This window comes from Homo sapiens, chromosome 15, assembly GCF_000001405.40.
Source record: "Homo sapiens chromosome 15, GRCh38.p14 Primary Assembly".
In the NCBI taxonomy this organism is placed as follows: Eukaryota; Metazoa; Chordata; class Mammalia; order Primates; family Hominidae; genus Homo; species Homo sapiens.
This window is the reverse complement of record NC_000015.10, coordinates 78,064,067-78,089,522: the sequence shown is the minus strand read 5'-3', so window position 1 is coordinate 78,089,522 and position 25,456 is coordinate 78,064,067. Positions and strand designations below refer to the sequence as shown.

The following is a 25,456-nucleotide window of genomic DNA, read 5'->3' as shown; positions in this document are numbered from 1 at the left end:
AAAAACTGGGCAAGACAGGGAGGAGGAAGATTACATCTTGATTTTCCCTAACCTTTCATTGAATTCAGCATTTCCTTCCATGGTGAATGATGCTGGGAACAAACCTCACTGGGTTAGCAGCACCTGTTACTTTGTTACCAACAGAAATAACAGATATTTTCATATTACACTACAGCTGTTGTGGACTCTTGGGATATCATTTTTGCTCATCATTACCTCAAAATTACAGTAATTAGACCCAACTCTGGATCTTGTTATTTAATGTGCCAATAAAACATATCATGTAATATCACAAATATTTTTATAAACCCTATTTCGATATAATTTATTTCCATTGCTCTCTGTATTTTATTTTGTGCACTTAAAAGAGTCTATTCTGAGAAGTCCATAGGCTTCGTCACATACAAAGAGGTCCATGGCACAAAAAGGCTAAGGATGCTGGGGTCTAACCCAGAGTCGGTTTGCTGCCAAAAGTGAGATCCTATAAGTATTCAAATGCAAAGAAATGCATTTCTATAATTTTCCATGATGCACTCTCTCTCCACCTTCCTTTCAGGCTGGATACTTTTATGGGCAGAACCTGGTCATTTTCCTAAGAAGACAAAGGCTTTATGTACAAAAGGAGGCAGAGCCCAGGATGGCTACGGGCCAGAGGTCAGATTCCAAAGTCAGGCAAATAAGGCGGGTCTCTATACTCAGTGGAAATGTGGGGCTGGGGAGGGGCAAGGCCCAGGTGAGCTCCATGAAGAAGGGTCGGGGTAGGAAAAGGTTGTTCTTGACGGTGCTCTTTGTGTCATTGTTCATTTCAATACGTGTGGTCACCTACTGGGTGCTGAGGCCTGGGCATAGAAAGAACACTGCAGTAGTCCTGCTCTCCTTCTCCACCTGGGGCCCAGAGGTACAGGGAGAGGGAGTAGAAGACTTCAGGCTCTGGAGTCAGACTTATTGGCTTAGCATCCCAGCTCCCTTACTTGTTGGCTCTGTGACTTCACTGTGTCTGTTTCTTCATCTATAAAAATAGAAGGGAGAAAAAGTACCTACCTGGTAGGTTTCAGGAATTCTCAGAGCTAATCTATGCAGTGAAGTGGCTGGGAGGCTCAGCGCATATGCAATAGATATCAGTGGCCATCATGATTCACCCACAGCTGCAAGTCATCCCCGGGACTGGGAAGTCCCCAGAATTCGAAGTCCCTATCCCTAGCAAAACTTCCCTGTCCTAAGTTCTCCTCTCTCAAAAGGCTGCTTTTCCTATAGCGCAAATAGATGGTAATGGATTATCCCACAAATGACTATCTACTGAAGGTGTTCAGCCTGGCTTGCCCTTTCAGGAAGCAGGTTGAGGTTTCTCCAGAAAGCTGCTCAGAGGTAGTGTCTCTCCAGCCGTTTCGATGAAGGCCCACTGAATGTGCCCTAACCAAGCACTGACTCTTTCACTTCTCTTTCTGAGCCTGTGCAGAAGCTACGTTCATTGCCAAGTGCTGCCGGCAGAGCCTGGTGATGGAACACCTAAGTGGACTTTTCCGTAAATGCTTGTCATGTGCCTGTGTTAGTCTATGCACATTACATTTTCATAGCGCTAAGTTGTTTCGTTAATAGGCCTGAATTAGTTCTATAACACTGGGGAGTGAAGAATGGATGATCCTATTTCTTTTTTCTCAATTTGTCTATCTCATTTTCCACTGTATTCCTTACCTAGAATAGTGCTTGGCACAGGTAGATGCTCAGTAGGTTTGTTTTATGCTGTTATTTTATGTTATTTTTGAGAGAGAGTATCACTCTGTTGCCCAGGATGGAGTATAGTGGACATGATCTTGACTCATTGCAACCTCCAACTCCCAGGTGAAAGCGATTTTCCTGCCTCAGCCACCCAAGTAGGTGGGACTACAGGCATGCACCACCACACCTGGCTAATTTTTGTATTTTTAATAGAGATGGGGTTTTGTCACATTGGCCAAGCTGGTCTCAAACTCCTGACCCCAGGTGATCCACCTGCTTTGGCCTCCCAAAGTGCTGGGATTACAGGCGTGAACCACCGTACCTGGCCTTCAGTAAATATATTTTAATTCATTATTCAAGTAGACGATAAATCAACATAATATTTAAAAAGACAAATATAAAAAGATACCAGTAAAAATATTTTTCCTCCAGGCATTTAACCCCATCCACCCAGTTACTAACCACATTTCATTCCCATAGATAACCACTGTTAGTTGTTCCTTGAATGTCCTTCCTGGGTTTATGTACATCCAAATAAGTATGTATATTTTTTCTTTTCTTTTCTTTTTCCCTTCTCTTCTCTTCTCTTCTTTTCTTTTTTTGAGACAAAGCCTTGCTCTGTTGGCCAGGCTGGAGTGCAGTGGTGCAACCACAGCTCACTGCACCCTCAACCTCCTGGGCTCAAGCAATCCTCCCACACCTCAGCCTCTTGAGTAGCTGGGACTAAAGGTGTTGGGATTATAGGCATGAGCTACTGCGCCCAGCCAAGTGTGTATATTATTTTCCTCACCTTCTTACATAAAAGATAGAGTACTATACAGCATTCTGCACCTTGCCTTGTAAAAAAAATTCAACAGTGTATCTTGGCACTCCTTCCACAAGACTAAAGAGAGGGGTGCCATTCTTATTTTCACAGCTGCATATTATTCCATTGTATGAATACATAATAATTTTTGTAACCAGTCCTCTATTGATGGTCATTTGAGTTGTTTCCAATTTTTTTTAATTCCTGAAAATGCAGCAATGGATAACCTTATATGGATTTGATTAAGTGTAAGAATAAATACATCCATGAAACACATTCTCGAAAGTGGAATCGCTGAATCAAAGGGTATTTGCAGTTGTCATTTTAGCAGATGATGCCAAATTGCTTTCGTTAAGCGTTGTATTGATTTATGGCTCAGTAAATACTGAATAAATGAATGAATAATATTTTCAATTTCAGTCATTTTGAGGCCCCCAGCATGCAGGAAAAACCAGCGGAGAGGGCTATGGCTGGTCCAGAGAAGTCACCAATGTTATCGTGATCCTTTTGGTCCCTCAAGGCCACTGAGTGACTTCGTCTTGCCATCTTTCTACATGGCTGCTGGTTGGGGAGGGCAGTGTCCAGAGAGGTCCCCCTCAGCCCTTCTCCCACCAAACACAGGTGGTTCTATTTTATCCTTAGGACAATGGCCAGGTACTGGGCTGGGAACTTTCCAAGGGCCTATAAAAAGATCTGAGACCTGGAAGAAACAAACAAACAAACAACCAGTATTGGCTCCAAAATTCAAAAGGAGAAAAATGCAAAATCACAATGAATAAATGTATAAGTAAATGTCTATACTATGTAATATTGCATCAGCTTCATTTCGTATTCATAAAAGTTTCATCACATCTGAAAATGGTTTGGAGGCCAGATTATCTTAGCTCACAAAAATCCTCAAGTGTGCAAGAAGACTGCCAAGAAATCATTACCAATTGCAAGTGAAATGAATTCCTCAAGGCCAAATCATTTCAAAAGCAAAATCATAAGAATAATCCTTTCCAAAAAGCTTAAAGCAAAAGACATATATATTTTTATTGTAAAATATGGCCATGCCATTTAAAAATTACATATATTTGATAGTAGTGAGATGGAGACTCCAAAGGTGAGAGTGCCCTGGACCTACCACGGTCTTAAAAACATTGCCAACCTCATCTGCGCCATAAAGCACCCATCTGGGGGGCTCTGGGCCTGTAGTCTCTGCTCCTGACAGCCCAGAGCGGAAAACCACCCCTTAGATCAGAGAGGCTCCCTTGTCAGTGTACCTCTCAGTTTCAGCAGCAAGAACAAGACGCAAGTTAATTTTGCTATAGATAATCCAGACTCACTAGTGAGTATTTCTGAGTCCCATGTAAAAGTGAAATTCTTCAGAGTTGCTTGCTGTTTGCTCATGACAGCTGGAGAAGGGACGAGATTTTGGGATCAGTTTAGGGACCATAGGGAAGACAAGGGGCCAAGGACCATAATTTTGAGAACCCTCATTCTACAGCCTTTTGGAGGCCAGATGGCCACCGTGGGGCCCAGCTGCAGAGACCTGGTACACCTAGCAACTTGGGCAGCTGGGGCCCCTGGGCTTGCTCCTCAATTTAGTCCTATCCCTGTCTCCCTTCCCCTCACTTTACAGCTGGGAAAACAGAGGTCCTCCGTAGATTCCTAATGATTTTGAGCCCTTACCAGGTGCCAAGTACTTCACATACACACATACATGATTTCCTTTCATCTTTATAGCAGGTATACAAGGTAGCATTACTGTCCCCATTTTTTCCCATTATAAAGACAGGGACACTGAAACTCAAGAATGGAAATGGCCTGTCCAAGACAAGGAGTAAGTCCATGGCAGGGCCAAGTCGAGAATCTCGTACCCCATCCTCCTCCCCTATACATGCTGCATCCTCCTCCCATGCCATTGCTCCAGCCATTTTCCCTGCTACCCAAATTCTTTAAATACTTTAAAAATGCATTAATTCAAAATTAATAGTCAATGTAGTCAAACTTCCAAATAAGAAACACATTTAAAAACATTCCTCCCACTCCAGAATCTACTTCTTCTGGGTCTTTTCTGTGCCTGTCTTCATGTATCCTGACTGCCTTCTTCCCGCTTCCCTCTTCATTGCTTTGCTCACATAAGTACGCCGTAAACTCCTTTCGTAGACCCCTTCGCCCAACCAGAAGAATGCCTGAACTTCCACCATCAGAACAGCATCTCTTTAAGCTGTCAGTTAAAATGCCCCACCTTCCAGACTTGGCCTCAAAGTAGGTTTTAGTCCCTGCTGCTTGTGTGGGAAGGGTGGAAGTGTCCGAGATCAGATTTGGCTGAGTGATGGGGGCACTGGGAAGGGGACAGCATGAGGGCCTCTAGGAAGCAGAAAGGTGAAGGCAGAGGGGACTACGCTGTGCTGGGCCGGGCGCCAGGCCCTGGGAACAGGGTGGTAACAGGAAGGACACAAGGCCTCTGCAGCTGCGGCCCATTGCCTCCTCAGGGTCTAGTGCTCCCCTGCTCCTGGGGCAGTGTGACTCTCCCTGTCTCCCATGCTGGGCTTGACTGCCTGGTACCAAGCCCCTGCCAACCCTCTACCCTCTATCAGCTCCCAGAGACACCCAGACCTCCATCTGTCTGAGCCTCGGTCCCCTGGCCCCAGGGCTGGGAGATTGGCCAGCACCTCAGATTTGTTCCCTCTCAGAAAAAGAGCCAGGAGGTATGCAAATTTGACTGCCAATTTGGTAGGGAAATGAGGCCTACTGGAAGCCAGAGTCCACAGTCCAAGATGGTCTGAGAGCCCTGGGCTCCCTTGCTGGGGCTGTTCTCTCTGAGGCTGTCCCACCTGACAAAACTGAGAGCTTCCTGCAGTGGGGCCAGGCCTAGTCTTGTGGTGAGTTTTCAGCACCACCCATCACCAGCCAGAGGCAAAGAGCAGGAGCCAGGGATGTTTGTTAAATGAATTAGTTACCAAACTGAGACTTGTTGTACGTCAGCGACTGTGTCCAGTGTTTTGCATTTACTGGCTCATTTAAGCCCCTAGCAGCTCTAAGGGGTAAATGTTATTATGCCCCATTGTACAGATGAGGAATCTGAGGCACAGAGAGGCTGGGAGATTGGCCCAAGCGCCCATAGTTCCTTATTTATTTACTTAGAGACAGGGTCTCACTTTGTCACCCAGGCTGGAGTGCAGTGGCGCAATCTCAGCTCGCTGCAACCTTGACTTCCTGGGCTCAAGCAATCCTCCTGCCTCAGACCCCCAAGTAGCTGGGACTATAGGCATGCACCACCATGCCCAGCTAATTTTTTGTAGAGATGGGGTTTTGCCATGTTGCCCAGACTGGTCTCAAACTCCTGAGCTCAAGTGATCCACTCGCCTCAGCCTCTCAAAGTGCTAGGATTACAGGTGTGAGCCATCAGGCCCAGCCCCCTTCTTTATTTTGAAACCACTCCCCCACCACCCTACCCCTGCCCCAGTACCCCCAACAACCTCCCACCAGGGCAGTAGGCTTGGTGCAGGGTGCCCCCTTTCAGAGCTTTGCGGACATACCTGGAAAGCCCTCTCTCTGGTCTGGGGTCTCCCTGTGGCAGCTGTGTGCTCTGGTCAAAGCATCCTCTGCTCTGAGGATGGGCTTGCTCTTCTCTGCCCTGCCCCTAGCCCTCCAGCGCTCGGCCCATTCACAGCTCCAGTCCCCCAACCTTCTTCACCCACCCCATCCCCTCCTCATCAGGCCAACTTCCTTCACAAGGACCTACGAGGATAGCATTGTCCAACCCCCAAGTAACACAGCTATCTCTGCTTCTGTCTGCCTCAGGGACACAAGGCCTTCATTTGTGCCCCGGATGGGGGTGACGATTAGGGCTGCTTCTCCTTCAGGGCCCAGGGTCATAGGATGCAAAAGTGTCACCTCAAAGGGGTCATGTTTGCACCAACTGCAGTGGGCAGCCAAGCCTGTAGATGGAGTGGAGCCCTGAGGGGATGGGGCAGCTTGGTTGTGATGGCTGCAACAGTCCAGAGGGCTTTGAGCAGTGGGACTGAAAAGAGCATAGCCTCCACTGGCCTGCAGAGCTGTGGGAAGAATGACTGCAGGCCCTCACAGCTGTGTCTCAGGCCACTGTTGTGTTTCTGAGCAGGCAGGGGCAGGCCTTTGGACATCACTTAGCCATCCGTCTCCTTGTTGTGCAGGTGGAAAACTGCAGCCCAGAGAGGGCAGGGACATGCCCTGGGGCATACAGCATACAGGTGATAAGGCTGTTTTCCTCTCTGGGCCTCCTGCAGATCTGTGCACTCCTCCAACGGGAGGTCAGCATCTCGGCCAGCTCTGTCTCCCTGGAGTCTGACAGCTACAAAGGCAGTGTGCAGTGAGTGCTTCTTCAGAGGCCTCTGGGCACATGCTACCAACTCTGGGGAGACTGACCTAGGATGAGTCACTGGCTCTGTGTTCCCCTAGGGTTTTCCCAGAGGCTGGCCATGTAGGAGCAAGTTTACTGCCCAAATTTCCCCTTTTCAGTAAACACCAGCTACTTCCTCCTGGGTGGTTACTTCCTTCTGGTCACTGGGTTCCTGGACGGCTCGAGGAAGCAGGGGCTTACATGGGCATGCAGGGCAGACCCCTCAACACCTCTCATGCCTGTACTAGATGCAGGGAAGGTACACAGGCTGTATAAAGCTGGCCCTGACCACAGGACATCACTGTTTAATCTAAGAGACCTCAGGAACTGCAGATGTCAACAAACCATTTACGAAGGGTTTCAGGGAATTAGGAGCCACCAGAGACAGCCCCAACATTTCCATGTAGGAGGCCCTTGGGAAGAACTGAAGCTATATCTATTTACATAAACTATAAACATTGTCCAGACTGAAGATGGAGGTACTAAGAGAGATGAGATAAAGCCCCATTGCCTAGTTCTCCTCAGCTCATGGCCCTAGGAATGAGGGGAGAAGGGTTTGTTCACGAAATAAAAAGCATTTCAGCAGGGTCTTGAGAGAGTCAGTGGGGAAGAGGGGCCTGGGGGAGGTCTAGAGAGTCAAGAGGGTTTTAGGGTTGATTCTGGAGGCTCTAGGGATCCTTGGAAGGCTTGGGCCACTTCCTAAGCCTGGTCGGGTAGACAGAGACTCAGGGCCCTCCAGGGGACCCTCCTGAGACATTGCTGTTGGCTTTGAGGCCTCCATACTTTACCACTCTCACTGGGGACTCAGGCCTGTGTCTGTGCAGCCTCCTCAGAGGGCCATATTCTGGACCCGGCCAGACCGAGGCAGGGGCCAGGCCAGTTTATCCCCTAATATACTAAAAAGCTCAGTGCCTGGGCCTGCCTGCTTGAGAGGCCTGTGAAATGTTTGTGGCCTAAGAAAAATGTATTGGCTCTAAAACCCAAGAAAAACAGCAAAATTAGAATTAATGAACATCTAATTAAATGTCTACAAATGTAACATGTCACCTTTATAGTCATCATAAAAATGTCATAACAGAGCTGGGCACCTTGGCTCATGCCTTAATCCCAGCACTCTGGGAGGCCAAGGTGGGAGGATCACTTGAGACCAGGAGTTTGAGACCAGCCTGGGCAACATAGCAGAGACCTATCTCTACAAAAAATACAAAAATTAGCTGAGCGTGGTGCTGCGCACACCTGTGGTTCCAGCTACTCAGGAGGCTGAGGTGGGAGGATTGCCTGAGCCCAGGAGGGGGAGGTTGCAGTGAGTTGAGGTAGCGTCACCGCACTCCAGCCTGGGTGACACAATGAGACCCATCTCCAAAAAAAAAAAAAAAAAAAAGGTCATTACATTTGAGAACAATTTCTAGGTTAGGTTTCTCTCACTTGGCCAAAATTCCCACACAGACACGATGATTGCCAAGAAATCAGCCAATTAAAAATGAAAATGAAAACTCATAATTAGATAATATCAAGAGCACAATTATGGATATTCCTGAAAACATTTTCATAGCAAAAATTATGTATATGTTTACTACGGGATGTAGAGCATTTTAATATGTTTGATATGATGTCAGGTGTGGCCTCCAGAAGGAAGAGGGCAGTGGCTTACAAGCATTTTATTTATTTTTATTATTATTATTATTTTGAGACAGAGCCTTGCTCTGTTACCCAGGCTGGAGTGCAGTGGCACGATCTTGGTTCACTGCAACCTCCTCCTCCCAGACTCAAGCGATTCTCCTGCCTCGGCCTCCTGAGTAGCTGGGATTACAGGCACGTGCCACCGTGCCTGGCTCATTTTTGTATTTTTAGTAGAGATTGGTTTTCACCATGTTGCCCAGGCAGGTCTCAAACTCCTGACCTTGTGATCTGCCCTCCTTGGCCTCCCAAAGTGCTGGGATTACAGGCGTGAGCCACCACACTCAGCCCTGCAAGCATTTTAAAATGGCCCCAGCTCATCTGTGCTGGGTGACCAGGGAAGGATTGGAGGCTCAGGTGTAGGGGAGTCAGGCTGAAGTCCAGCTTGCCCACTGAGGGGCACAGACAGCAGGTACGGTTCTGCATGCCAGGCCCTGGCGGATACAGCAGTGAACAAACCAATCATTCTCCTACCCTCGTGGAGATTATATTCTAGTAAGGCAGGGAGGTGACACACAAGAAAGCAGATAAAAGTAATGTGTGCTATGTTGTATAAATGCCGTGATGACATGTAGATGATTACCGCTTAAAACAGCACCCCTGTCCCGTCCCATCTGCCTAGCCCTGGCCAGCCAGCCCAGACTCTTAGTCCAGGAGGGGGGCTCGTGGCTTGTGCCTGTGAAGGATGCCTTCCTCGGGCCTAGCAGACATCGGCCCCCGTGAGACACCTCATGGGGCTTGGTCCTGTCCACTGGGACCACAGGTCATGGCCACCCCCACTTCCTTATAACTTACTGATAGATCTAGGAGAGATGGGCTACACCCTCCCCTGTCCTGTTGCCTCCCTGTACCATGGCAATACAGACCGGGTTCTCCCAGCTCTTCCCTTTCCCACAGTATTTCAAGGTCAGACCTCACCCTGACTGCCTACCCCACAAGCCAATTAGTCACAGCCCCTTTTACATACATGGTGAGGCCCAAATTGAACTTGGGACCCCTTGCTCCCGAGAGCAGCCCACTCCACTCCCGCAGCACCGCAGTGTCTGGCCTCCCTTGTCTGGGCCCGGTCTGACTGTTGGATTCCCCCTCTCCGAATCTGCTGACTGATGAGGAAGACATCGGTGTTAACTGCAAGATGATAATAATAACAGCTGATATGTGCTGAGTGCTTACTATGTGTGAGGCACCGTGCTAAGCACTTTCATATGCATTTCTCACGTAACCCTTTCAATAACAACAGCACGAGATAGCTACTTGTATTTATCAACCCTGTTTTATAAATGAAGAGACTGAGGCCCAGAGAGGTTAAATCACTTGCCCAAGGTCATGCCTCTGGTAAGTGGCAGAGCTAGGAGACACATCTGGTCAGTGTGAAGTCAGAGCCCAGTCCTTAACACTGTGCTGATTGTGCTCAAAGACAGGTGGAGAGGTCAGCCACACCTCTGATGGGCCCCAGGAAAGGAATGCTTGCGTGGTGCCACTTTAGGGCCTGCAGAGAGTCGGCAGGCTGGGTGAGGACCCAGAACCTGCCCTTCCTACCTGGGTGGCTCCAAACAGGCAGTCTAATTTGTGTCCCTGTCCAGCTCAGAAAGGTCAGTTTTCCACCTGGGTCTTTCAGTGTGTCTGTATAAAACATGCAAATCTATGAGGGTGAGATATTTGGTTTGGGCTTTCACAAATGTAGCTATGTAGCTATACACTTCCTTTTTCCTTTGAATAAAGTGAGCTCTTGTACTCACTATTCCCTCTCCCTGGAATGCTTCACCCACATTTCTGGTTGCCCCTGTCCCTCCCATCATCTGGGTTTGTGCTCCATGTCACAGGATCAGACCAGCCTCCTTGCCTGTCCTGGGGCAGCAGCCTGCTATCTGCCCCCCATCACTTCATCCTCTCACTTTGCTTTTTACTTATTTTTTATTCTTGTGGGAACATAGTAGGTGTATATATTTATGGGTTACATGAGATATTTTAATACAGGCATGCAATGCATAATAATCAAATCAGGGTAAGTAAGGTATCCATCACCTCAAGCATTTATCCTTTGTGTTACAAACAATCCTATTATACTTTTTTTTTTCTTTTTAGACAGAGTTTTGCTCTTGTTGCCCAGGCTGGAGTGCAATGGCGCAACCTCGGCTCACTGCAACCTCCACCTCCGGGGTTCAAGAGATTCTCTTGCTTCAGCCTCCCGAGTAGCTGGGATTACAGGCATGCACCACCACGCCCAGCTAATTTTGTATTTTTAGTAGAGACAGGGTTTCTTCATGTTGGTCAGGCTGGTCTCGAACTCCCGACCTCAGGTGATCCACCCACCTCGGCCTCCCAAACTGCTGGGATTACAGGCGTGAACCACCGCGTCTGTATTATACTCTTTTGGTTATTTTTAAACGTACAATTATATTATTTTTGACTGTAGTCACCCTGTTGTGCTAGCAAATACTTGGTCTTATTCATTCTTTCTCTTTGCTTTATTACAAAGCAATAGATTTGCCTTCTCAGGTTGTGAGTGTTCAAATAAGTTAGTCTATAAAGCACTGATAAATACTAGGTGCTATTTTAAGCGGTAATCATTTACATGTCATCACGGCATTTATACAACATAGCACACATTACTTTTATCTGCTTTCTTGTGTGTCACCTCCCTGCCTTACTAGAATATAACCTCCACGAGGGCAGGAGAATGATTGGTTTGTTCACTGCTGTATCCGCCAGGGCCTGGCATACAGAACCGTACCCGGCATTCAGAAGGCGCTCAATAAATATATGTTGAATTCAATAAATGAACTGAGGTCTGGAGAGGCAGGAAACGCTTTGGCTTTCATGAATTCTGCAAATATTTACTGAGCACCCACTCAGCACCAGGCAATAGGCTGTCTCATTTTTACAATATTAGCTTGAGACTCTGGCAGGAGGGAGATTTAAATATCAAGTTTTTAGAATAAGATACACAGTGTGAAATGCAGTTTTAAGCGGACACTCCGCTGGGTTTTGAGAGATGCACACTCCCATGTACCTACACTGCCATAAAGAAATAGACCATTGCTTCATCCGGCAGGGCGAGGACTTGGAGCCCAGGTGGCACGAAGGCAACTGACCCGCGGGGTGCTGGTCGCAGGACCCTGCCTCCGGGGGCTGAGGGGGCAACGGCCGGCGGGCGGGCGGGGGCGAGACTACAAGTCCCAGGGTGCTTTGCGCGCCCGCGGGCCGTGCGGAGCGAAGGGGCGGTGCGGAGGGGGTAGGGGGCGCAGCGGCCGCGGCGCGGAGGCGCAGGGCGCGGGCGCCTACGGTTGGCGCGCGGTAGCGATGCCGGGGGCCGGAGCCCGGGCGGAGGAGGGCGGCGGCGGCGGCGAGGGCGCGGCGCAGGGGGCGGCCGCGGAGCCCGGGGCGGGTCCGGCGCGGGAGCCAGCGCGGCTGTGTGGCTATCTGCAGAAGCTGTCGGGCAAGGGCCCCCTGCGTGGCTACCGCAGCCGCTGGTTCGTGTTCGACGCGCGCCGCTGCTACCTTTACTATTTCAAGAGTCCGCAGGACGCGCTGCCCCTCGGCCACTTGGACATCGCGGACGCCTGCTTCAGCTACCAGGGCCCCGACGAGGCGGCGGAGCCGGGCACGGAGCCGCCCGCGCACTTCCAGGTGCACAGCGCGGGAGCCGTCACGGTGCTCAAGGTGGGACCGCTCGCCCCAAAGCCGCCCGCGCGCTTCCGCCGGCGTCCCCTGCCTCCGCCACTGGCTTGCGCCATCCACCCTCCTTCCTCCAAGGCCTCCTCGCCCCTGCCCACGTCGGCCTGCCTTTCCCTGCTTCTCCACATCCCGCCCTCGTTCCTATCTCCTCCCCACTATCTGGGCTTAGGCCAGTCTCGCTGGGGCTACCAAGCCCCGTCTCCTTTCTCAGACACCTTGACCCATTATCTCCCTCTGCGCCTAACCTCGGGCCAGTCTCTGGTGTCTCCCGACCCCCACCATCCCGTGGATGTCCTGTGCAGCCTTCCCAGGCATCCGTGAGCGTAGGCTTCTACCCCTGGGGCCTCCTTTAGAACTTTGCCTATGGCCTTGGTACCTCAGTGAACCGCTCTGGGCTGCAGCGGCCTCCTCTGTAAAATGGGATAACAGTAGTATCTACCTCATGGGGTGTTGGGATTAAATGAATTATACTTTAAACTGCTCAGTAAATGTCAGTGCTTTTATTTATTTGTTTATTTATTCTTTTTGAGACAGGATCTTGTTCTGTTGTCCAGGCTGGAGTGCAGGGGTGCGATCTCGGCTCACTGCAGCCTCCATGCCTGGGCTCAAGAGATCCTCCCACCTCAGCCTCCCAAGTAGCTGGGACCACAGGTGCGGGCCACCACGCCTGGCTAATTAAATTTTTTTTTTTTTTTAAAGAAACGGGGGTCTCACTATGTTGCCCAGGCTAGTCTCGAACTCCTGGGCCGAAACCATCCTCCCCATCCAGCTTCCCAAAGTGCTGGGATGCCAGGCGTGAGCCAGAGTGCATTTAGCACTGTAGACAGAAAGAGTCAGATGGCAGGGCCCTTAGAGACAGTCCACTACATTTTCCTCCAGAGTGGACGGGGATGCTCCAGCTAAGGTCACACAGCCAGTAGGTGGCAGATCCTGTGTTCTTCCTCCTTGCTTTGTCCAGGATGGGTGGGAGGGGGTCTTTTCAGCCAGTTATGCCTTGCTCCTTTGAGGCTCCCTTAATCCTCCAGTGGACAGACAAAATGAGAGATACAGTGTAGAAGCAGGAGAGTAGAGTCAGGAGTCCTGGTGCTGAAAGGCCTCCCCTGTCCTTGGGAGTTCTGGGGGACTAGACTGTCACCTCCTAGGGGCCCACCTGCTTTGAGCATCTGGAGGGATCTGGGCCCAGGCCTGGAGCTGGGTATCCTTTTTCCAGGCTTTGCTCCCTGCCTGGTTTCTGTGAGTCTCCACCCTCACTCTCACTCCTCTTCCGTATTCCAGGTTGGGCTTTCTCCAGAGCAACAGGGTTGGGCTGGGATGTATGAAAGTGCTCTCAAAGCTGGCCACACGGAGAGCAGACTAGGCAAACTCCTGGCCTTGTGAGCTGAGGACTGTTCCTCAGACCCCCAGAGCTGCTAACAGCTGGAGCTGCTCCCTGGAGATGTTCTTAGAGCTTTGCTGACTCAGCTTTTGCCAGTTCAAGCAGGATCTGATTCCCATGTTCTCTTGGGCTCCCCTGTCCTGTCTGTAAGTGGGTGCAGACAGCCTGTTTCCCCAAAGAAAACCAACTCGGGTTGCAGTCCTACACAGGCTTACTTAGAGAGTGCCTGTATAAACTTGGTAATGACCCTAGTGGGAGACCTTTGCCAAAGGCAGAGGCTCTTCCTCAGTGTACATACGGGCTGTCCCTGTGTCGGACGAATTTCCTGTGGGATGTTTGTTAAAGAAAATAGAGCATCGTGTTTCACATTTTTCCCAGATGACTGTAGAACTCTATCAGTTTTTTTCATTAAAATAATCTGAATCTCCTGTAATCCCAGCACTTTGGGAGGCCGAGACGGGTGGATCACGAGGTCAGGAGCTCGAGACCATCCTGGCTAACACGGTGACACCCCATGTCTATTAAATATACAAAAAATTAGCCAGGCATGGTGGCGGGTGCCTGTAGTCCCAGTTATTCGGGAGGCTGAGGCAGGAGAATGGCGTGAACCCGGGAGGAAGAGCTTGCAGTGAGCAGAGATCGCGCCACTGCACTCAGCCTGGGTGACAGAGTGAGACTCCATCTCAAAAAAAATTAAAAAAAAAATAATAAATAAGAATCTACATAAGCAGGGTTACAAGGCGCATTGTCAGAAGTGTGGCTTTAAACTTCGATGGACTTGAACTTGAAGCAGGAGTCTGCTGCTCACACATATTGGACAAATTACACCAGTTCCCTGCTCCAGTTTCCTCTTTGGTCTAGTGGGAATCATACCTTCCTCATTAGGTGGCTGTGAGGATTCTGGAGAATGTTATGGAAAATGGCTGGCGCATTTTCCATAGTGGTATGGAAAATAGTAGGCACTACATGGCATATGAAACATCAAGCAGTGTCTTTGGCCAAATATGTAGTGTATTCATATAGTGGAATATTATGCAGTAGTAAACAAAGGTACTAGAGCTATAGGTGTCAACGTGGATTACTCTCACAAACAATAAAATTGAACAAGAAGTAAGTTACACACTGATTGTGTTCAGAATGATACCACTTATAGAAAGGTTAGGAAGATCATGTGAAACAGTACTACAGATCATAAGGATGTATGCTCTTTCGCGAGGGGAAGAGCTTTATGGGGCTGATGAGCTCTGGTTTCCAGGTAGTGGTTGCCTGTGATGGGAAGAGGGAGGATGTGATTGGGAATGGGTGCCTCAGGGCTTCTCCTGTTTTGCAGTGTTTTATTTCTTGGACTGGGTCATAGGTATATCAGTGTTTGTCCTATTATGCTATCCATCTTTTTGTAGGTTCAGAATATTTCTTTTTTTAAAGAAAGGAAATACATTTTCCTTTGGGTTACTGACAATGGAGGAATATTTTGACATGTAAAATTAAATTGGTCACAGAATAAGATAGTACCGAGTGTTGGCTGTATACAACAATGGGAATGGAAATCAGGCAAGGCTTTCTGGAAGAAGGGAGGAGAAGGCCGGGCGTGGTGGCTCATGCCTGTAATCCCAGCACTTTGGGAGGCCGAGGCGAGTGGATCACTTGAGGTCAGGAGTTCGAGACCAGCCTGGCCAATATGGTGAAACCCCATCTCTACTAAAAATACAAAAATTGGCTGGGCATGGTGGCGCACGCTGTAGTCCCAGCTGCTCGCGAGGCTGAGGCAGGAGAATTGCATGAACCCGGGAGGCGGAGGTTGCAGTGAGCCGAGATCACACCACTGCACTCCAGCCTGAGCGACAGAGTGAGACTCCACCTTAAAAACAAACAAACAAACAAACAAACAAGCAAAAAACACCCCGACTCTAAAACCCTGCTCCCTTTTTTTTTTTGAAACAGAGTCTTGCTGTGTCGCCCAGGCTGGAGTGCAGTGGCACAGTCTCTGCTAACTGCAACCTCTGGCTCCCGGGTTCAAGCAATTCTCCTGCCTCAGCCTTCCGAGCTGAGGGACTATAGGCGCGTGCCACCGCTCCCAGCTAATTTTTGTATTTTTAGTAGAGACGGGGTTTCACCATATTGGCCAGGCTGGTCTCGAACTCCTGACCTCGTGATCCACCTGCCTCTGCCTCTCAAAGTGCTGGGGTTACAGATATGAGCCACCGCACCCAGCCAGGCGTGTGTTTTAAGAAAATTAAATTTCATTGTACAGTTATTTCTTTTGAGCTGTAGGAGTAAAATCTTTATGGTGTAAGTATGGAAATTACCAATTTATCTTCCTTTTCGTCTTTCAAATGCAAGAACTGATTCCCTTAAGCCTTAATGTTTCACTTTAGGGCTGCCCAGCCATAGAGGAGACCCTGATTTCTAAGGATTTTAAGTTAGGATTTAGCCCTGCTCAGACTTCAGCTAGTGGTATATAATTTTACAAATACCATTTCTTATCACAGAGGGTTAAAAAGTAAAGAAAAATCAGCACTTTTCTTATTCTATTATCATATGTTTTTCTTATTTAAAAGTGTCTTTCAGCTCTCTCTGGAGAAGCTGTGGTTTTGTTGGGCTTTTTCAAAATGTTTTTCTATGTAAGTCTTAATGAAAGCTGATATAGGAATTTCTTGGGAAACTCCTCTATTCCCAAACTTAGGGATTTGATCTGGTGCCTTATGAGGTAATAGAGGCTAGAGAGGGGATGTGATTTTGCCAACATCATGAAGCTAGACTCAGACCCTCTCTGAAAGTAGAGGCTCCAGGAATAGTGAATGTCTAAAATGTGTAGTATCTAATTGTATTGTCTGTTCTGACAAGTCTGCTTTTTTTTGACTTTGTTGGGGATCGGATAAGGCGTAGTAGTAGTCTTTCCTTCTATTGCATTTAATATCTGTCCTTTTTGGATAGTGGGTATCACAAGGGAACATTTTACTGCCCAGTTCTTTACCAGGATGCCTAGTACCTTTTGCTGGACATGTCTGGAAACTGCTGCAAGGGTCTAGCAGAGGCTGATGCTTCCTGTGTGCGTCTCTCTCTGTGTGTAGGGGTGCTGGAGGCTTCTCACAGAGCTTTACTGGAATCTGAGGCACTTAGGGGAAGGAGAGCATGTGACTGACCGAGGGTGAAGCTTAAACAGCCTTGATCTTCCAGATCTCTGCAGACTTTGGAGCAAGAGAGCGTCATCAGACCGTCAGCAAATGAATTCCTCCCTCCGTAGGTGCTTGGTGCTAAATAGACATGTGTACTGGTTTCTGAGCCACACGTAACTGAATAGCTGTGTACCCCTATTCTTAACCACTTTTGTGGGAATGCACATTCCCTGGTGTTGAAATTTCTCTTAATGACAAACATTTGTCGGCTTGGGTAATCATATTGTTTTCAGTGCAAAATAGATGTGGTGAACCAGCCTCCTTTGCTGTTTGGTTCTTCTAAGCTGTTCTGCCCTAGGGCATCTGCTCAGTCTTGAAGCATTATTTAACTCTTTAAGTTATGGGAATTTAACTTTTCATGGCTTTCCAATTAGTAAGTTCCTTCAAGGCAAGTCCAGTATTGTGCTTGTGATATCACAGTGGCATTCCGTCTCCCTCTCCCACTGCCTCACACAGTCCTCATTGCAGGGGAGTCTCCATCCTATTTCCTGCTAACCAGAGGGTAAGCTCCCTAAGGACTGTGTGTATCCTCAGCTCCTGCAACAGTATCTGGCACAAAGGAGACATGCTATAAACTAGTGTTTGTGTTCCTGAAAAATTCGTATGTTGAAGTGCCAGCTCCCAGTGTGATGATATTTAGAGGTGGGGCCTTTGGGAGGTAATTAACTCATGAGGGTGGAGCCTTCACGAATGGGATTAGTGCCTTTATAAAAAGAGACCCTGGAGAGATGATCTCCCCTTCCACCTATGAGGATACAGCAAAAAGGCATTCCTTTGCAAACCAGGAAGAGGGCCCCCGCCAGGAACCAAATTGACCAGCACCTTGATTTTGGACATTCCAGCCTTCAGAACTGAGTAAATTTCTGTTGTTTAAGCCACTTAGTCTGTGGTGTTTTTGTTATAACAGCCTGAACCGACTAAGGTAAGGTGCCCAGGTAGACATTTGTTGCATGAATGAATAGAAAATGGTCACCCAGTAAGCACTGGTTTTGGTGTGAGCCCTGACCCTTTAGAAGTGATCAGCCAGAACTCCCAAATATACAGGTGTATTACATGCCATTCTTGCCTCATGTCATGGAGGTGGCAGCCATTCAGTGAATGCCCACTGAATTTAACAGACATCAGGAATCCAAAAGGGGGTTATGACTCACCCTTCCCCAGAGGAGAGAGCTTACAGTCAGTTCCATATTTTCGGGTCTCATATATTTCATGCCCATGGTCAGGACTCCAAGGACACTGTTATAGCAGAGGCAAACTTTTTATGTAAAGGGCCACATACTATTTTAGGTTTTGCGCACTCTGCCATATCTGTCACTATGCTGTTGTAGTACAGAAACAACCACAGAATGAGTATAGCTGTGTTTTAACTTTTAGTTATGGACTCTGAAATTTGGATTTCATATAATTTTCACATTTCGCAAAATATTCTTTTGATTTTTTTCAACCATTTAAAAATGTTAGCTGGGCACAGTGGCTCACTCCTGTAATCCCAGCACTTTGGGAGGCCGAAATGGGAGGATCACTTGATACCAATAGTTCGAGACCAGCCTAGGCAACAAAGTGAGACCCTATCCCTACAAAAATTAAAAAAAACTAGCCAGGTGTGGCTGGATGTGGTGGCTCACGCCTGTAATCCCAGCACTTTGGGAAGCCGAGGTGGGTGGATCACTTGAGGTCAGGAGTTTGAGACCAGCCTGACCAGCATGGTGAGACCCTGTCTCTACTAAAAATACAAAATTAGCTGGGTGTGGTGGCGGATGCCTGTAATCCCAGCTGCTTGGGAGGCTGAGGCAGGAGAATTGCTTGAACCCAGGAAACAGAGGTTGCAGCAAGCTGAGGTGGCGCCATTGCACTCCAGCCTGGGCGACAAGAGCGAAACTCTGTCTCAAAACAAAAAACAAACTAGCCAGGCATGATGGCACATGTCTTTAGTCCCAGCTACTTGGGAGGCTGAGGCAGGAGGACTGCTTGATCCCAGGAGGTGGACATTGCAGTGAGCTGTGTTTGCTCCACTGTACTCCAGCCTGGGTGACAGAGGGAGACCCTGTTTCAAAAAAATAAAATAGCAAAATAAAAATGTTAAAACTGCCCTTGCCTTGTAGATTGTACAGAAATAGGCAGAGACTGGAAATGACCGCAGGCTGTAGTTCACTGACTTGTGTTCTAGGAAGGCCTCAGGAGCTTCCCACTCATTCACTCACTGTGTGTGCTTAGGCACTGGGGATATGACTGGACAAGACAAACAGTCCCTGTCCTCCTGGAGCTTTCAGTAGGTGGGGGGGACAGACGTTAATAAAATATAACAAACACCAACCAGTGCTAGGAAGTTTGAAAGGAAAGATATGCAATGCATGTATAGTTCAGGATCTTGATCTGGTTTATGGTTGGTGGAGGGCTAGGAAAGACTTTCCTGAAGAAGCGACATTTGAGCTGAGACTCAAAGGATGAGTTGGTGTTGACTGGAGCGGGGGTGGGGGTGGAGAGGAGGAAGTCAAGTGTTGTAGGGAGAGGAAATGGCATAAGCAGAGGCCCTTAGGTGGGGGTGCTGGTTGCATGTGGGACTCAAGGAGTGCCTGGTGGCAACTAGGAGTGAAGGGGACATAGCCTTTGGAAGAGGCAGGCCTTGGGCCAGGGCAGGATTTTGGTCTTCATCTTAAGAGCTAGAGTCAGTAAAGAGTTTTAAGCAGGGTTTGACAAATAGGTTTTTGTTTTCTTTCTTCTGCTCCCAGATAGATTGTTTTAGGCCATTTGTGCTGCTGTGAAAAAATACCGTAGACAGGGTAGCTTATAAACAACAGAAATTTATTTCTCATAGTTCTGGAGGCTGGGAAGCCCAAGATGAAGGCACCAGCAGATTTGGTGTCTGGTGAGGGCTCACTCTGCTTTAGAGGTGGTGCCTTCTAGTGGTGTCCTCATAGCAGAAGGGGACAGACAAGTTCCTTCTGGGGCCTCCATCTATGTATGTTTGTATATATGTATGTATGTATCTATCTATCTAAATGTATTTTTCTCCTCAAATTCCTTTTACCACTCTGGCCTCTTTCATAAGGACCCTGATCTCATTCCAGAGGGCTCTGCCCTCATGACTTAAATCACTTCCCACAAGGCTTCCCTCTTAGTACTATCATCTTGGGGACTGGGTCTCAACACGTGAATTTTGCGGGGACACACGTTTGGACTGTGGCACTGATGGTTTGGTCATGCCTAGTATTTTTATGTAACTAAGTTAGAGGATTATCGTGTTGGGTACAAAGGGTTGATGTATTTATATGTTATGTACTGGCAAACAGATTTAAAAGTAGATAAATGCAAAGCTGAACCTATCTTGAGCAGTTGCTTCTTAATTTTGTTTCTGAGTGGTGGGTGTTGTGATGGGTGAAGCTCGCTTTGGCAGGTGTGTGTGTGGCTAGGGCCGGCCCGCCCTGGTGGACTTCCTTTCCTGAAGCATTCCTAATGGCCCCCGGCATTGACTTCTCTCCTGCTGCACTTGCTTTGCTCATATGCACATTACCAGTTTCCTTCCTCTGTGGAGATGACGATTTCTTGAGAAATGGAAGGAGTATTCAGATGTACCAGCTCCCACCTCACGTCTGAGGGGGGTGGACCAGTCTCCTCGATCAGTTGCTTTTACCTTTGAGCCACTGGGGTGCAGACTTCCCACCTCCAGTCAGAACAAAATACAAACAGTAACACCCCCTTCCTCTAAAGAAAGAAAAAGACCCCCACCATTGTAGAAGTGACTGTCAGTTTGGGAGAGGGAGAGGCATTTTCATTAGCAATTTTCGGTTCTGGTATTTATGTAGTGGGATCTTAATGACATGTGATCGGGTGTTCACCCATATCCTGTCAGGCCAGCCCTCAGCTGGGTTTTGTTTGCTTTCACAGAGTGAATGCAATGTGGAAATGGTAAACTGGGTAGTGGTGACTAGTTAGTGGCTTGTAACTAGTGTTCTGTGAAGTACTTTGCCTGGAGTGCTCAGTTCAGTAAACATCTTGGCATTCAGATATGTGAGGCCATGTGAGGGGCAAGAAGCTGAGAGGATCCCTGGGGAGACTGTGGCTTTCGTGATTGTCCAGCAGGCAGTAGCTCACCAGCCAGCACAGGAGGCCCTCAGTCGGCTACAGATTCAGGATGGTTTTGCTCCTGGTCTAGTCTTTGAGTGTCTGCTGTTGTGTCCTACCAGAGCATCACCTCCTAGGATATTTTGTCAGTGTATTTCACTACTGTGCCTTTCATACTTAGAGGATCCCAGCACCTGTTAGATGCTTGTTGGCTAAATGCATGCTTTAAGCCCTCATATCCTCTGTGTGTGTGTGTGTGTGTGTGTGTGTGTGTGTGTGTGGGTGTGGTGTGTGTGCTTTCATTTCATGGTGAAACGGACGTTTGTAGTGTCCATTTACTCAGCAAATATTTTTGAGCATCTATCATATTCTAAGCACTATGCTGCTTGCTGCAAATACAGCAGTGAAAATTTTCCATTGATTTAAGAAACTGTAGTGTTAACTTTAAAAATAGCTTAGCATCTGATATAATCAAAGAATTGTAAGAGTTTTGAAAAAAACATTGAAGAGGCCCATGTTTGTCTGTAGTATTCAGCACTGAGATAAATATCACATGTCTGCAAGTTTTTTGATTCTGAGAAGTCTGGCACTTCTCCATAGTAAAGGAAGGGGAGGGGGCATCCATATGTAAAATACTAATCTGGATATGGCCCAGGGCCAGAAATCTGTGATTTGTGTAATAATTTTGGTGAACACTGCAGAATTGGAGAGTTCTGTATAACTGATTATCAAGAAAGCTCCCTGAAGAAGATGGGACAAGGGAGTTAGTAAATGTTGGTATAATTGTGTAGCTGCTCAAAGACTTAGTTCCTGTTTGATCAGCAACATGTGTTCCCTGTAAGCTGGGAATCACCATCTTCTAATGAGTTTGCATGCTTGGCCATTTTCTTAGCCTTTGCAGAGATTGCCTGGGAGAACTAGAATCCAGTGTGAGAAGTGGGGATTTGGTAGCTGAGATCCTGTGTGCTTCTTCTTTCTGCCCCTTTCCTAGGCCAGTGCTACTGTACCAGCAGACTTTCCTTGAGCAGACTGCCCCTGGGCTGGGACTTGTGTTGCTGAGTGTCAGATGGCAGGCCTGGCCGTGGCCTGGAGGTGGGCAGGCTAATGTTATCAGAGATGTTGATCTTGGATTATAGGAATTATTTCTAGGCAGCAAGCCCAGTATTCATTTTCCTCTCCAGCTCTCTGGTGTTCAGGAGAGGCTGTGCTTGCAGAGAAGGTGGCCAGCTTTCTAAATGGATGCAGCCAACTGGCCATTCACCAAACAGACTTTGTTGAGCAGGAGTCAAGCTTTGCCTCTGGCCTCAGGGAGCTTCTGTGTCTGTTTTGGGTGTGATTAGGGCATTGTCAATAGGTGGCTCTGGGAGCTGGAGGAAGGCATTCATTATTTTTGCTCAAGGGTCATTATCCCAAAGTTAGAACTGGAGAGGCCCTCAGAGATCAGCCCCCTTCCCATGTGTGATACAGAGAGGAAACTGAGTCCCACAGCTAGCTACCCTACCACTGAAACCTTCTCCTTCTCCAAACACATGAACGATATTTTACCATTTTAAACCCAGCAGTTTGATGATACTTGCTTTATATATCTGTCGTAATCCATTAGTAGAAAATTGGGCTTATTCTTTTTTTAGTAGTTGTATATGGAGACTCAAATTGTACCTTTAACCATTTTGTGTTGGGGCACAGATTTAAGAAGTTTAGTCACATGGAGGTTGGAAATTAACAGCATAGGTTATAAACTTCCAGTGGGGGTTGACTTGATAGGAGGCATCAGTGATGTTTCCCTGGCAGAGATTGAGGCCTGGTGCATCCCTTTTGAGAGGGCTTCTCTTTGGAGGTGGCTTTGGTTTTCTCTTTGGTTCGTCAAAGGAAAACAGGCAGTTGGCAGATGGCTGTATCTTTTCATTCTGCTCTGTAAGGCATACCCTCTGGCCTTAGAAGTGAACCACTTTTTATACTGTTTACACAGCTCTCTTGTATATACTGTTGTAGAGGTAACATGCTGATAAGACTTTTTTTGTTTCTGTCTTTTAAAGGAAAATATCTCCCTCAGAACCGCAGTTCTTAAATTTTGTGTGGAAAAGACTCCTCCTGGGTTCTGTTAAAATGCAGATTGTGGGGTTCGTCCCCTGGAGATTCTGCTTTAGTTGGCAGGCCAGAGTGGGCCTCAGGAATCTGCCTTTCTTTCCAGCATCCCAGCCCTTCTGCTGCAGATCTCTGTGGCTTCCCTGTGAAACACTGCTCTCCTCCCGATGATGAATGTTCTCTTTGGCTGTGAAGAAAAGACTGACCCTGTATGATGGTGGCTTTCTAAGTGGACTAGAAATAACTAAACTGCTTGGGTGAAGACCAGTGAAGTGTGAGCCCTCCATCCTCGGGTTGACTCTCTGTGGTTTATAGCTGCATATCTTCTTTGCATTCTGAGTTTCTATGCTGCAGAGGAGTGGCTTTTGGCCCAATTCTCCATTGGCCCCAAGGTTTCTGTCCCCTTTGCTGATCATGGTGGCTGGCAGACCCTACGTGCTAGGGTTCCTTCCTGAGCATTCAGAGGGAGGCTCCAGGAGGGAACAGTGTTCACTTGGCATCTTTCGGTATTTCTGGGAGGGTGAATTGCAATGATCACCACCACCAAAGAGCTGGTAAGTACTTTCAGATCCCTCAGCTTTTCACCAGAGAGAAGTGGGTAACAATGATATAGGACGACCATCTGATACTCCTGAGACACCAACTCCACCTTAAAACACTGTTAGAAATCACCGTGGTTCCCAAACATTCCTGTAAATTCACTGAAAGACTAGGCGGGTTCCTGGTACCTGGCTCCACTGCCTCCCAAATCTCTGGTGGGTGGAGCCTGGGAACCTGTCCCAACTCCGTTTCCTAAAACTTCATGTTAAGTCAGTCATTCTTTTGCCCTAGTTTTAGTTGAAAAACATCAAGCAGAATAATGTGGTATTGCATAGTGTGTGGAAGCCAATGTGGGCAGAGGTGGAGCAAGACCATCCAATAGGCTACAGGCTGTGGCTGCAGGAGTTGTTATTTATCCTGAGCTCATCCTTGGCTCTCTCACATTGTGCAATGGCAGAGCTGAGAGGGAACCATAGGAATGTAGCCCTGTGGTCACTTGGAGGCCTCGTGCTCCCTTTCTCTCTGAAACAGAAAGTATTTTGACAGGCTTCTACATTTCCTGTAGGGACGAGCATGTCCGGAGAGTGGCCTTGTCCTTGCCCTTGTCTTGATGAAATCTGTGGCTCAGCCCAGCTGGGTGGCCTGGGCTGTGAGAGGCTTTGATGTGGCCAGATCCCTCACAAGCCCAGTTGTTTTCATTGCCCACTTTCCAGTGAACTCACATTTGCTCTTCTTTGTTCTAGTTGTAGGCCCTATTCTTCTAGTCCATTACCCTTAGTTGCTAATCTCTGTTAAATGGTATTTGCTTAAAAATGTATTTGCTGAATATGGGTTTAAGAAATGGCTTTTCTCTCAAGGTGTTTGCTTTTTAAAAGGGGTGCTTGAGTGTTAGAGATGGCAGAACTCCTCAGACCACCACCTACCAGAATGGATGATGAATGTGGCATCTTCCCAGGGAATGACTGCCCACCTCAACACAGACTCTTCCGGGAAATTGATTATGGGTTCTAGGTGTGTGCTCAGCCTTTGAAAGGGGCTAGATTAGAACTATTTTAATAAGATACAATTATTTTGTAAGACATATGAATGCTAATTTTAAGATAGCAATTTTAAAAGATACGAAAGGAGAATTTGTTATGTTCAGTAGAGGAATGGAGGTTTGTGACCTTGTATTCCATTTTCCAAGGAGCCAGGAGATCCAGTATTTGCCTTCTTAGTCTCTGTTGCTGGGCTGAAACAGAAGATTTCAAAACCTTCCTGGGGAAAAAAATACATTTTTTTTTTCCATTGGTGCTGGGCCAGATCCCTTGAGATTGTTTCCAGGCTCATGATTTTGAAACACTCAGGAAAAAATTTGGAACCTAGAGTTATTTATCAGATTCGGGGTTAGAGTCTGTTTTCCATTTGAATTTTGTTTTGTATTACCAGGCTGCTTACAATATTCTTGTGCTTTTTATTGCTTATGGAAGAAATTACTTTAGACATTTCTTAGAGATCCAAATATCTTCCTTGAGTTTAAGAAACAAAAATTCCTTCATTATGAGCAGCCATCGCATTCTTTTCAGAAATGGATACCCAAAATTATCCATGTAATTTAAATTGCTTTCTAGAAGGTATGCAGACTTGACCTATTCTGTATATATATTTTCCTTCCTGTGGCTCCTTCGTGATTGTTGGTTATGTTGTTCTTTTGGCTAATAAACATGGTAGGACCTGACCCTTTGGGAAGGAACCCAGAGTTCATAACCCTAAGTGGGTGATTGAGATGGTGTGCGTCACATAGAGCGTGTTGGAGGAATGATCGTTTGGTTGTATAAGGGATGTTGGCTGGCCTTACAGATGAGATGTTTGAACTGGGTCTTGAGTGAGTGGGAATTTGTTAGGGAGGTGTTAGTGCAGTAGGAGCAGAGATTGTGAAGGCTTTTGTGGGCCTTTTGTGTGGGAGAAAGGTTATAGTTCTGTGGAGTGTGGGG

The 25,456-nt window shown here is 47.4% G+C and overlaps 1 protein-coding gene across 14 annotated transcripts in view, besides 10 other annotated features; it reads left to right on the top strand.

The window, feature by feature from the left end:
* Positions 5,011-5,511: an enhancer, noted in NCBI's record as "H3K4me1 hESC enhancer chr15:78376354-78376854 (GRCh37/hg19 assembly coordinates)". NCBI's record gives its function as "activates a minimal SCP1, AML or CMV promoter by ChIP-STARR-seq in primed H9 embryonic stem cells {active_cell/tissue: H9 hESC(primed)}" and the evidence as "EXISTENCE:reporter gene assay evidence [ECO:0000049][PMID:30033119]".
* Positions 5,428-5,487: an enhancer, noted in NCBI's record as "active region_9908". NCBI's record gives its function as "activates an Ori minimal core promoter by ATAC-STARR-seq in GM12878 lymphoblastoid cells {active_cell/tissue: GM12878}" and the evidence as "EXISTENCE:reporter gene assay evidence [ECO:0000049][PMID:35858748]".
* Positions 11,527-11,576: a silencer, noted in NCBI's record as "silent region_6704". NCBI's record gives its function as "represses an Ori minimal core promoter by ATAC-STARR-seq in GM12878 lymphoblastoid cells {active_cell/tissue: GM12878}" and the evidence as "EXISTENCE:reporter gene assay evidence [ECO:0000049][PMID:35858748]".
* Positions 11,727-11,936: a silencer, noted in NCBI's record as "silent region_6703". NCBI's record gives its function as "represses an Ori minimal core promoter by ATAC-STARR-seq in GM12878 lymphoblastoid cells {active_cell/tissue: GM12878}" and the evidence as "EXISTENCE:reporter gene assay evidence [ECO:0000049][PMID:35858748]".
* TBC1D2B (TBC1 domain family member 2B) overlaps positions 11,812-25,456 on the top strand; it is an 82,727-nt gene continuing 69,082 nt past the window's right edge. For 9 of the 14 annotated variants that reach the window (XM_047432269.1, NM_001387143.1, XM_011521387.3 and 6 more), the window contains exon 1: positions 11,812-12,230. Coding sequence is in view for 13 of the 14 variants with exons in the window: in NM_001387143.1 (NP_001374072.1) it covers positions 11,871-12,230 (360 nt within the window). In the remaining variant the exon portion in view is untranslated. Of the gene's footprint in view, positions 12,231-23,341; positions 23,498-25,456 lie in introns of those variants that run through there. The other 5 variants (NM_001387149.1, NM_001387146.1, NM_001387145.1 and 2 more) reach the window with 1 other exon arrangement.
* Positions 12,137-12,336: a silencer, noted in NCBI's record as "silent region_6702". NCBI's record gives its function as "represses an Ori minimal core promoter by ATAC-STARR-seq in GM12878 lymphoblastoid cells {active_cell/tissue: GM12878}" and the evidence as "EXISTENCE:reporter gene assay evidence [ECO:0000049][PMID:35858748]".
* Positions 20,376-20,425: an enhancer, noted in NCBI's record as "active region_9907". NCBI's record gives its function as "activates an Ori minimal core promoter by ATAC-STARR-seq in GM12878 lymphoblastoid cells {active_cell/tissue: GM12878}" and the evidence as "EXISTENCE:reporter gene assay evidence [ECO:0000049][PMID:35858748]".
* Positions 20,456-20,535: an enhancer, noted in NCBI's record as "active region_9906". NCBI's record gives its function as "activates an Ori minimal core promoter by ATAC-STARR-seq in GM12878 lymphoblastoid cells {active_cell/tissue: GM12878}" and the evidence as "EXISTENCE:reporter gene assay evidence [ECO:0000049][PMID:35858748]".
* Positions 23,009-23,058: an enhancer, noted in NCBI's record as "active region_9905". NCBI's record gives its function as "activates an Ori minimal core promoter by ATAC-STARR-seq in GM12878 lymphoblastoid cells {active_cell/tissue: GM12878}" and the evidence as "EXISTENCE:reporter gene assay evidence [ECO:0000049][PMID:35858748]".
* Positions 23,339-23,388: an enhancer, noted in NCBI's record as "active region_9904". NCBI's record gives its function as "activates an Ori minimal core promoter by ATAC-STARR-seq in GM12878 lymphoblastoid cells {active_cell/tissue: GM12878}" and the evidence as "EXISTENCE:reporter gene assay evidence [ECO:0000049][PMID:35858748]".
* Positions 23,814-23,953: an enhancer, noted in NCBI's record as "active region_9903". NCBI's record gives its function as "activates an Ori minimal core promoter by ATAC-STARR-seq in GM12878 lymphoblastoid cells {active_cell/tissue: GM12878}" and the evidence as "EXISTENCE:reporter gene assay evidence [ECO:0000049][PMID:35858748]".